Here is a 13,308-nt window from a genome sequence, read left to right as displayed (position 1 = left end):
GAAATTTTTTAAAAAGAACAAAAACAGCCTATGCTGCCCACTAATAAAGCAGCTAGGAACGAGTTTCTCTCTAAACGTATGTACTTGCCATTTTTTTCCATATGTCTAGTTTGCAAAAGCTCATTGACATTCCATAATCCACAGCCTAATGACAATGGCAGGGCAGGCATTAATGTACCCATTTGGACAAATTAGAAAGTGAAAGAGGTCACACAACCTGGAGAGTGACAGAGCTAGGGACCAGGGCCTAGGTCTCTTGTTGCCTATGCCAAAAATGACTCCCTATGTAAGCAAATTTACTGAAAAAGAATAAATTTCTTCACCTTCTATTTTCAGTCTCCCTGAGACTTAACACAGTACCTGTACTTTGTAGCAGCTCAGTAAATATTTCTTGCCTGTCAGACTATTTCCAAATAATGGTAGAAAAGAAATATTACAGGTAGAAAAAAAAAACAGGAGAAATTAGAGAAAATGTTAAAGAAATAGGAAATGACAGTGACAAGCATAGCAAATAAAGAATAAGGTAAGAAAAATGAAACATGGAGGGAAAACATGTTAAACTGCAATTAAGAATCATAAAACATATGCCAGAAAAAAATATTTGAAGGCCATGTACCAAAAAACTGATGGTGGTGGTAATGACAACTGTGACTACTACCACTTACGTCTACCAGGCTCTGTGGTAAGCCTATTAGCCCTCTAATATTATGATGATGATGATGATGATTTATTTTATGTATTTATTTTGAGACGGAGTCTCGCTCTGTTGCCAGGCTAGAGTGCAGTGGCGCGATCTCGGCTCACTGCAACCACCTCCGCCTCCTGTATCCCTCTAATATTATTATCCTTACATAACAGATAAAGAAAGTAGGGCTCAGAGAGGTTAAGCAACTTGCCCAAGGATATATCTCTAACAAGGATAGATGTTAAAGAAATAGGAAATGACAGTGACAAACATAGCAAATAAAGAATAAGATAGGAAAAATGAAACATGGAGGAAAAACATGTTAAACTGCAATTAAGAATCATACAACATATGCCAGAAAAAAATATTTGAAGGCCACGTACTAGGATTCCAACCTAGACAGTCCAACTCAATTTTCATATTTTTTGGTATATTTTCTGTATTTTGCCAATTTCCTGCAATGAGCACGTATTACCTTTATTTTTTAATCCCGTAGCGTTCACCGTGTATAGAAATAATTTTGTCATTACATCATTAACTCTAGTTAATTACTATTTCTATTCATCATTTGTATGTCACCTCAATTAGACTGTTGAGAGCACTCCTCGGGGAGTGTCATGTTTTAATGCATATTATAGCTGCTCTATGAATATTTCTTAAATGAACGGACAATGGAAAGAAAAATGTGGGAATGCGAAGCAAACAACCACAAAAAAATGGTTTAGGGAGGTGATGAAAGAGATAGATAAGGAACAGAAAAAGGGGCACAGAAACCTACCATCATGATCACTAACAGGAGATATACTTGGGACCTAGGTAGTAAGACAAACACATAACTATAAAGCAGGGTAAATAAGAAAGAAAGCTAGCTAAGTAGAACCCTGTTTTGGTGACCTCAGACACTAGGATGGGAGCTAAAATGCATTAACAAAACATGCCAGTCACAGCAAAAATGGAGATTTTTTGAAGATATGGTACTTTAAAAAATTTAAATAGAAAAATTGTTTCAGAGTACCTTATGAGAGGGGAAAGTACTAAAATTGCTTTTCTGGCAAAGCCTGTCCCTTCATCCAACAATTATCCTAAGATACTTGAGATCTCATCTCCATAAATTCAATAGGCAATTGGGGCCACTTTCTCTTTTGAGGCCAGATGCAAAAACAGAAATTACAGTCATTTCCTATATTGCAGAAATTAGCTGGCCAGTTGAAAGCCACCTGCACGCATTAATTCACATCATCAGAGGTTGGCATCTAGAAGGCTCAAGGCCCTTCTGTCTCTGCCACATACTTCACCCACATGGAGGCGAAGTTCAGATAATCAAAGGTGAAGCCTAAGTTTCCAGTTGAGCCATGTTATGAGGTGGTAGTCTCTTTGTACCTCCTGCTGGCTTGTGAGTTAAAGAGCAACAATTTTTGTTTTCATAGTAACACACACACATAAACATAAAATAATATTGAGGCATGACATAGCAAATAACAGCAGTCCCCTACCCCAGCATTCCCCATCACCCTCCCAAGAAACAATAATAGCTGTTTCTTCTGATTTCCACGTTATATTATCTAAATAATATGCCTAAAGAGCTATTTATTTATTGATATTAGATACTATCTATTGATTTTCTTTTACAGTAGTTGACAATTTAGCTTTCTTATACCTCCCCACACTGCACACCCAGATTCATCAATTCCCTTAAAATTTCTATCACAATGCTTGATTAAATCATTGCCAGGTTCACACGATTATGGCTATGCAATTATTGTTTGCTGCTAAGCAAAGTAGCACATTATTGTTAGTCTTAGCATATTATTGTTAGATTTTGGGGTTTTTTTTTTGAAGTTAATAATGGCTTCAGTATTTTATTATTTGAGATTTCAATATTTCTAATGCTTCCCCCCCCCCAGTATTCTAACAGTTCTGTAAAATATCTATTAATAATTTTTCCAAACACTCTGATTCATCTAAAAATCTGCTGCTTCCATATTCCCCATAAAGATTGCCCTTTTGCAGCTCCCTGTTCCCCCGCTACAAACTAAGCCAGTTATTCTCATGGCCTTGAACATGACTGTCTTCCTGGGACTCTCCCTTCCCATCCCCTGGAGTTAGAGTCTTGTTTCCTGGATCTTACCCTATGTCTTTCTTTTTCTTGGCTTACTCCTTCATTTTAGTAGAGCAAAACCTCCAATTGCTTCCAGAAGAGTTCATAGGAGGAATTTTTTGAGTCCTTGCATATTTTACTCTAACATTTAACATGAGCATGTTTGGATTGCCATAGAATTTTAAGATGAAGATAATTTTCCATTAAAAATAGACATTTATGGTCAATTGATTTTTGACAAGGGTGCCAAGACCCTTCAGTGTGGAAAGGGTAATCTTTTCAACAAATGATTCTGAGGCACTTGGATATGCAGAAGCAAAAGAATGAAGCTGGACCCTTAACTCACACTATACACATAAACTCCATATGGATCAATGACCCAAATGTCTCATCTAAAACTCTGAAGTTATAAAATGGTCAGAAGAAAACATTGGTATAAATCTTCATGACCTTAGATTAGGCAATGGTTTCTTAGATATAATACCTAAAAAGTACAAGTGCCCAAAGAATGAATACATAAATGGGACTTCAACAACATTAGAAACTTCTACACTTGTAAGGACACTATCAAGAAAGTGAAAGACAACCATAGAATGGGAGAAAGTATTTACAAATATAACTGATATGGGACTTGTATATAGAATACATAATAATACTTATAATTCCATAATGAAAAGACAAATTACTCAATTAAAAATGAGCAAATGACCTCAATAGACATTTCTCCAAGGAAGACATACAAGTGGCCAATAAGGAGATGAAAAAAAGCATCATTAGTCATTAGGGAAATGTAAATCAAAACCAAAATGAGATACTACTTCATACCCACTAAGATGGCTAAAATTTTTAAAAAGGAAAAAACAAGCACTAGCAAAGATGTGAAGATATTAGAATCATTGTATGTTGCTGGTAGAAAGAAAAAATGGTGCAGCTAATGTGGAAAACATTTTGGCATTTCCTCAATAATTTTAAGATAAAGTTACCATATGATGTAGTATTTCCATTTATAGGTATATCCCCAAGAGAACTGAAAACATATGTGTACACAAATGTTCACAGCAGCATTATTCACAATAGCCAAAAAGTACAAGCAACCCAAATGTCCACCAACTGATAAAATGGAAAAACAAAGTAAGGCATAACTACCCAATAAGATATTGCTCAGCCATAAAAAGGAATGAAGTACTAATACATGCTACGACATGGATGAACCTTAAAAACATTATGCTGAGTGACTATTTACAATAGCAAAGACTTGGAACCAACATAAATGTCCATCAGTGATAGATTGGATAAAGAAAATCTGGCACATATACACCATGGAATACTATGCAACCATAAAAAAGAATGAGATCATGTCCTTTGCAGGGACATGGATGGAGCTGGAAGCCATCATTCTCAGCAAACTAACACGGGAACAGAAAACCAAATACTGCATGTTCTCACTCATAAGTGGGAGTTGAACAATGGGAACACATGGACACAGGGAGGAGAACATCACGCACTGGGGCCTGTCAGGGGGTGAGGGGCAAGGGGTTGGAGAGCATTAAGACAAATACCTAATGCATGCTGGGCTTAAAACCTAGATGACGGGTTGATAGGTGCAGCAAACAACCATGGCACATGTATACCTATGTAACAAACCTGCACATTCTGCACATGTATCCCAGAACTTAAAGTAAAATTTTAAAAAAATTATGCTGAGTGAAGGAAGCCAAACATGAAAGGTCACATATTGTATAATGCCATTTATATAAAATGTCCAGAAAAGGCATTTTCTGGACATAGAAAGTAGATTAGTGGTTGCAAGGGAATGGAGGCAAGTGGGAGTTGGCAGCGACTACTAGTAATTATGAGATTTATTTTAGGGTGATAAAAATGCTCTGTAATTAGATAGTGGTGATGATAACACAACTGTAAATATACTAAAACCATTAAACTATACACTTTACTTATTTATTTATTTATTTAGAGACAGGGTCTTGCTCTGTTGCCCAGACTGGAGTGCAGTGGCCCAATCACAGTTGCACTGCAGTCTTGACCTCCTGGGCTCAAGCGATTCTCCTGCCTCAGCCTCCAGAGTAGCTGGGACTACAGGTGCATGCCACTATGCCTAGGTTGGTTTCTTTCTTTCTTTCTCTTTCTTTCTTTCTTTCTTTCTTTCTTTCTTTCTTTCTTTCTTCCTTTCCTTCCTTCCTTCCTTCCTTCTTTCTTTCTTTTTCTTTCTTTCTTTGCTGGGGTTTCACCATGTTGCCCAGGCTGGTCTGGAACTCCTGAGCTCAAGCAATCCACCCACCTCAGGCCTCCCAAAATGCTGGGATTACAGACGTGAGCTACCACGCCCAGCCAGATTGTACACTTTAAATGGGTGAAATTTATGATGTATGTCTGGCTTCTTTCATTTAGTATAATGTATTTTAAAAAGTAATGTAGGAACCAGGTGTGGTGGCTCACACCTGTAATCCCAGCAATTTTCGAGGCTGAGACGGGTGGATCACTTGAGGCCAAGAATTCGAGACCAGTCTGGCCAACATAGTGAAACTACATCTCTACTAAAAATACAAAAAAGTAGCCGGGCATGGTGGCATATGCATGTAATCCCAGCTACTTGTGAGGCTGAGGCACGAGACTCACTGGAACCTGAGAGGCAGGGGCTGCAGTGAGCTGAGATCAAGTCACTGAATTCCAGCCTGGGCAACAGAGCAAGACTCTGTCTCAAAGAAAATAAATAAATCAAATATATATATTTTTAATTTTAAAAAGTAATGTAGATACTGAGAGGCTGGAGTGGAAGGATCACCCGAGCCTGGGAGGTCGAGGCTGCAGTGAGCCATGATCGCACCACTGCACTCCAGCCTGGGTGACAGAGCAAGACCCTGCGAGACTGTCAAAGAGTGATCAGGAAATCACTGAGACAGCCTGAGTTTTCAACAAAAGGCAAAGGATAGACTACCAAACCTGAACAAATTTAAAATAGTGGGAGACAAAAATAAAGTTGCTTTTGTAATTACAAATACATAAACATACTCACATAAATAAATAAAACAGGAGAGATAATAACAGCCAAATAAAAGATTTAACAGAAATTGTGAAGACAGTTTACGGCTGGAGGAGAGGGAATGGAGGGCTCAGAGGGCACTATAGCCCAAGCATCTGCAGAGGGGGACAAAGAGCAGTAGGTAAATTAGTCACCCTGTAGAACATAGAGTGACCCAGAATTTGAAGGCATGGAATACAGTTGAAAACAGGAGTAAGGCACAGAGTTCAAAATAGAAAAGGACGGTTAAAAGTCAAATAATGGACCCCTCAGGTATCTTCCCCCAACTTCAGATGGCTGCTGGTAGACAATCCCACCTATGCACAAAGAACTTCCAATCTCATTCTTATATATAAACAAATAGCTTACAATCATCAGAATTTTCAGAAAAATTTTCAATGCTAAAGAGAAAGAATAACATAAACAACAGAAATGAAGGGATTCTGAGGAAACAGGCAATGCAGGTGGCAGAAGAAAACTTTCAAACATTATCATTGTCATCCTTAGAGATAAGAGAAAATATTCTACTCATACCAGAAGTATAGAATGTTATAGAAAAGAAAAATTTTAGGACAAGAACTATCTCTTTAAAAATTAAAGAGGGTGGAACAAGATGGCCAAATAGAAGCCTACACCATTTGTCCCCCCAACAGAAACACCAAATTTTAACAACTGTCTGCAACAGAAAAGCACCATCACAATAACCAAAAATCAGGTAAGCAATCACAATACCTATTTTTAACTCCATATTGCTAAAGAGGTACTGAAGAGGGTCAGAGAGACAGTTTTATATTACCAGCGCCACCTCTTCCCCATCCCCTGGCAGCATCCCTGTGGTGCAGAGAGTATGTGCGCATTGGAAAAGGAGAGCTCAGTGACTAGGGGACATTACATTGAACTCGGTGTTGCCTGTCATAATGGAGAACAAAGCCATGCTGGGCTCAGCCAGTACCCAGGCATGGAGGGAACATTTGGACAAGACCTAGCCGGAGAGGAATCACCCATCCCAGCAGTTGGAACTTGAGTTTCTTGGCAAGCCTCGTACTGTGGGCCAAAGTGCCCTGGGGTCCTTGGTAAACTTGAAAGACTGTCTGGGACACAAGCACTATGATTACTAGGCAATTCCTAGTGCTGAGATGGGCTCAGAGCCAGAAGACTAGGGTGGCATGTGACCTAAGGAGACACCAGTCGAAGTGACTAAGGGAGTGATTGTGCCAAACCTCCCCGACCCCGGGCAGTGCAGCTTGCAGCAATAAAAGTGACTCATTCTTTCTGCTTAAAGAGAGGAAAGCAAAGAGTAAAGAGGACTTTATCTTGCATGTGGGATATCAGCTCAGCCACAGGATAGGGCACCAAGCAGAGTCATGAGGCCCACATTCTAGTTCATGGCTCATGGGCGTTTCTAGATACACCCTGGGCCAAAATGGAAACTGCTGCCTTGAAGGGAAGGCAGGATTCATCACTTCCAGACTAAAGAGCCCTTGGTCCCAAATAGCCAGCAGTAATAACTAAGAAGTATGCCATGGGCCTTGGGCTCTGAAATGTGCTGACTTCAGGTGTGACCAAGCACATTCCCACCTATAAGTGAAAGACTCCTTCTGTTTGAGAAAAGAAGGAAAAGTAAAAGGGACTCTGTCTTGCACCTTAGATACCAGCTCAGCCATAATAAGGTAGAGCAACAAGCAGGCTTTTGGGGTCCCCAGTTCCAGGCATAGCCTCTTGGACACAAAATCTTTCTTCTGCTTGATTACTTCTGCTGTTGAGAGACTCTGATGCATTATGTATGTATGTGTGTATGTATGTTTGTATTTATTTAAGACAGGGTCTTGCTCTGTCACCCAGGCTAGAGTGCAGTGGCACGATCTCGGCTCACTGCAACCTCTGCCTCCCAGGTTCAAATGATTCTCCTGCCTCAGCCTCCTGAGTAGCTGGGACTACAGGTGCATGCCACCACAACTGGTTAATTTTTTTGTATTTTTAGTAGACACAGGGTTTCACCATGTTGGCCAGGCTGGTCTTAAATTTGTGACCTCAAGTGATCTGCATGCCTCAGCCTCTAGAAGTGCTGCGATTAGAGGCGTGAGATGCACCCAGCCATCTGATGCATTTTTTAGTTTGTCAATTGAATTTTTTAGCTCCAGAATTTCTGCTTGATTTTTTAAATAATTTCAATCTCTTTGTTAAATTTCTATTCTGGGACTCCGAATTCTTTTTCTGTGTTATCTTGAAGTTCATTAAGCTTCCTCAAAACAGCTATTTTGAATTCTGTCTGAAAGGTAACATATCTCTGCCACCCCAGGATTCATCACTGGTGCCTTGTTTAGTTCATTTGGTGAGGCCATGTTTCTCTGAATGTTCTTGATACTTGTGAATGTTCATCAATGTCTGAGCATTGAAGACTTAGGTATTTATTCTAATCTTCACAGTTTGGCCTTTCTTGTCTTGTCCTTTTGAGAAGGCTTTCCAGGTATTCAAAGCGAATGGAGTGTTATGATCTAAGTCTTTGGTCACTGCAGCCATATCTTCACTAGTGGAAACCCCAAAGCCCAGTAGCACTGCAACTCTTGTATACTCCTCATAGATGTATTGTCTTAGTGGGCTTGGCTAAGATCTGTGAAAATTCCTGGATCACCAGGCAGAGTTTCTTGTATTCTTCCCTCACTTTCTCCCAAAGAAACAGTCTCTCTCTCCATGTTTGGCTGCCTGGAGTTGAGAGAGGAGTGATGCAAGCACTCCCACTGCTACCATAGCTGGGACTGTGCTGGGTTACACCTGAAGCCAGCATTGTACTGGGTCTCATCCAAGGCCAATGGCAACTACTGCCTGGCTATTGCTGATGTTTATTCAAGGCCCAAGGGCTCTTTAGTCAGAAGGTGTTGAATCCTACCAGAGCTGGGTCCTTTCCTTCAGGGTAGCAGGTTTCTTTCTAGCCCAGGGTAGGTCTAGCACTGTCACCCAGGAGCTAGGGCCTGGAACTGGGGGGCTTCGGGACTCTGCTTGGTGCTTTATTTTACTGTGGCTGAGCTGGTATCCAAATTGCTAAACAAAGTCCTCTTTACTCTTCCCTCTCCTTTCTGCAAGCAAAAGCAGTCTCTCCCCAAGCTGCACTGCTTGGAGTTGGATCTGCAAGCTCTTCCTTGGCTGCCCCAGATGGTGTCTCCATGGGTCACTTGTGCCCAAGTCCACTGGCTCTGAGCCCAGCACAGCAGCAGGACTTGCCCAAGGACTGTGGTCCTTGTGGCCTAGACTGCCTTTCAAATTTTTTCAGGACCCCAGGGCACTTTAGTTCACCACTGGTGGGGCTGGTCAGAACTCAGTTCCCACTGGAGTGTAGGATTCCCCTCTGACTGGGGCTGATCTAAACGCTCACTCCATGGGCATTGACCAAATCCTTCTTCCCTGTCTTGTGTTCTGCTGTGACAGGGTAGCGCTGAGTTCCAATACAAAGTCCCACAGTCACTTTCCTCTCCCTCCCCAAAGGACACAGATTCTCTTTCTGTGTGCTACTGGGGAATGGGGGAGGGGTGGTATAGGCAATGTAAAACCATCTTTCCTACTCTCTTCAGTGCCTCTTTCCTTAATATTAAATATTAAAACCAGGTACTGTGATTGCTCAACTTGTTTTTGGTTCTTATGAAAGTGCTTTCTTCCAGGGATAATTGTTAAATTTAGTGTTCCTATGTAGGGATGATCACTGGAGGATTCTATTTGGCTATCTTGCTCCACCTCCTCCTTCTTGCTTCTTATAAGTGGTTGATTAGGAATATCCAATTGAAATATTTTGCATACTTCAGTTGCCAGATCGTGCCATGGATTATCAGTGCTTTTTTTTACTACTGGAAATGGTTATTAGCATCTTTAAATCTAATGAGATTAGACAGCCAATTCCAGACACCTTAGAACCATTCACAAAACTCATCCTTAAAATTCTGTTTCTCTGAAACCACTCTGTACCAAAATCTTTATTGTTCTGTATTTTCCAGAAAAACAAAACCAGTATCTTTCTTTCAATATTCAGAGAGCGATAGATAGATGATAGATAGATAGATAGATAGATAGATAGATAGATAGATACATAGATAGAGAGATAGAGAGAGAGAGAAATATAGATAGATACAGATCAGATAGAGATAGATAGATAGACAATTAAAAATTGGGTCATGTGATTAGGGACAGTGAAAAGTTCAAGATCTGCAGGTGGCAAGCTGGAGACCCACAAGAGCCAGTGATATCCTCCAGTCTGAGGCCAAGTCTGAAAGAGGGAGACCAATGGTCTAGCTGAAAGTTCAGACAGGGAGAATGAATTTTTTCTTACTTAGCTTTTTATTCGATTCAGTCTTTCCACAGATTGGATGAGGTCCATCCACACTGGGGAAGGCGATCTGCTTTATTCACTCTATGATTCAAATGTTGCTCTCATCCAGAAACACCCTCACAGACACACAGAGAAATAATATTTAACCAAAGATCTGGGCAGCCCATGGCCTAGTTAAGTTGACACATAAAATTAACCATGTTCTGTGGTGCAAAATTTTTAATTTTGATGAAGTCCAACTTGTCAACGGTTCCTTATACAGATTGTTCTTTTGGTATTATGTCTAAGAGTCTTCACCTAGCCCTATTTCCCAAATATATTCTCATATGTTTTCTGTAAAGTTTTAGAGTTTTATGTTTATATTTATATCCATGATCTATTTTGTCTTAATTCTTGTATATGATGTGAGGTTTAGGGGAGGTTTGTTTTTTTGCCCCATGGTTGTCCAATTATGCCAGCATCATTGGTTGCAAAAATTATCTTTCCTTCATTGAATTGCTTTTCATTCTTTGTCAAAAATCAATTGAACTGGGCAATTATTTCTTAGATATGGCACAAAAAAGAAAGCAAAAACAATATTAATAGATTAATTATACTTGATCAAAATTTAAAACTTTTGTGCTTCAAAGTGTCAGAGGCGTGTGAGCTAGAGCAGCTCCATTTTGAATAGGAGATGGGTAAAATGAGGCTGAGACCTACTGGGCTGCATTCCCAGATGGTTAAGGCATTCTAAGTCACAGGATGAGATAGAAGATCAGCACAAAATACGGGTCATAAAGACCTTGCTGATAAAACAGGTTGCAGTAAATAAGCTGGCTAAAATCCAACAAAACCAAGATGGCAACGAGAGTGACCTCTGGTCGTCCTCACTGCTACACTCCCATCAGGGCCATAACAGTTTATAAATGCAATGGCAATGCCAGGAAGTTACCCTATATGGTCTAAAAAGGGGATGCATGAATAATCCACTCCTTATTTAGCATATAATCAAGAAATAACCATAAAAATGAGCAACCAGCAACTCTCAGGGCTGCTCTGTCTATGGAGTAGCTATCTTTATTCCTTTACTTTCCTAATAAACTGGCTTTCACGTTACCCTGTGGACTCGCCCTAAATTCTTTCTTGCATGAGATCCAAGAACCCTCTCTTGGGGTCTGGATTGGGGCCCCTTTCCTGTAACTAATGCACCATCGAAAAAGTGAAAAGATAGTTCACAGACTGGAAGAAAAAATTTGAAAATCATTTATCTGGCAAGGGACTTGTATCCTGTATATATAAAGAGCACTTACAATTAAATAATAAAAAGACAAATAACCCAACTGAAAAACAAGCAAAGAATTTCAGCACATTTCTCCAAAAAAAAAAAAAAAAGACATACAAATGACCAATAGGCACATCAAAAGATGCTCATTGTTATTTGTTGCTAGGGAAATGGAAATCAAAATCCCAATGAGATAACATTTTATACCCACTAGTATTCCTAGAATCAAAAAGATAAATGATGACAAGTGTTGGTAAGGATGTAGAGAAATTCAAACACTCATGCACTGCTGGTGAGAATGTAAAAAGATGCACTACTTTGTAAAACAGTTTGGCAGTTCTGCAAAAGTTAAATATAGAGGTATTATATGACCCAGCAATTCTGCTATTAGATATACACCCAAGATAAATCAAAACTTATGTCAACACAAACACTTGTACACAAATACTCATAAGAGCATAATCCATAATAGCCAAAAGTGAAAATAATGCAAATGTCCATCAAATGATGAATGGATAAACAACATGGAATACTATGGGATTTTTTTAGCCCTTCATTTTCTCTATTTTTTTTTTTTTTTTTTTTTTGAGACCGAGTCTCACAGGGCCTCACTCTGTCACCCAGGCTGGAGTTCAGTGGTGTGATCTCAGCTCACTGCAACCTCTGCCTCCCAGGTTCAAGCGATTCTTCTGCCTCAGGCTCCCAAGTAGCTGGGACTATAGATGTACACCACTGCGCATGGCTAATTTTTGTATTTTTAGTAAAGACGAGGATTCCCCATGTTGGACAGGCTGGTCTTAAACTCCTGACCTCAGGTGATCCACCTGCCTCAGCCTCCCGAAGTGCTGGGATTGCAGGCATGAGCCACCGCGCCTGGCCTGTTTTTCTATTTTCAACTGCATTTATTTCTGCTCTTTTTATTTCCTTTCTTCTGCTTGCCTGGGGTTTATTTTGCTCTTCTTTCTTTAGTTTTTTGAGGTAGTCACTTAGATTATTGATTCGAAGTCCTTCCTCCTTTCTATTGTAAGTATTTAGTGCCATGAATTTCTCTCTCAACAACTGTGTATAGCTCTTTTTGGTTTTCATTTTGTGATACCGTGGTATTTTATGAGATTCCTACTTTAATGGCGCCCTCTTCTGTCAGCATAACAGAGTTCAGCTATTTAGTAAATTTGTGCTTTTGTTTTGGTAATAGAGAAGGGGGTTTTTCTGTTCTCTGATTTTGTGGTTCTTTCTTCTCTTGCTGAACATAAATTTTGACCTTTTGCTTTTTTCCCCTTCACCACTCAATTGCCAAATCGTTCTTCATTACTTTTTTACCTTTTTTTCTTTCCCAGAGGCTAACTGTTTCAAAGACTGCCCCTTCAAATCACACATACTTTTAAATTTTTTCCCCTGTAGTCCATATACTCTGATCTACTTAGACACTTTTTTAAAAAATTTAGAGTATATTCACTCTTTCCGGTGGTGGTTTTACTTATCTTTTGGCCCTTTAGCTACCTTCCCTCTTCTGTTTTTCCCTCAGATTTATTCAGTCTGCCTTGCTGGCCACAATGTCTCATGGCAGGGCGAGTAGGAGGAAAGAGAAGCATGAGCAGCAATGCATTATGATTTGGTGTTATTTCTCCTTTTACTTACAGTTCTTTTGAATTTGGAGTATTCTTTCTCTTCAAGTTATTGTGAGAGTATGGTTTTGCATAGTTTTGTTTTTCTCTTGTTGTTCTGTATTGATTTTGGAGGGATATTAGGAGATTGGGACCTAGGTGGCTGCCATTGTTGTTAGCTACCCAGAAGTTCCCCTATTCTAAAAACAGACATATGCTATTTCCGGTGACTAAGTGTTTATTGGCATAAATATATATTAACTTCTGGTAAAAATTGATAGCACGCTAAAAATGATGTTGAAAATAAT

The sequence above is a fragment of the Homo sapiens genome, chromosome X (assembly GCF_000001405.40).
Source record: "Homo sapiens chromosome X, GRCh38.p14 Primary Assembly".
Taxonomy (NCBI): Eukaryota; Metazoa; Chordata; class Mammalia; order Primates; family Hominidae; genus Homo; species Homo sapiens.
The sequence above is the reverse complement of the archived record's forward strand: the minus strand, read 5'-3'. Positions refer to the sequence as shown.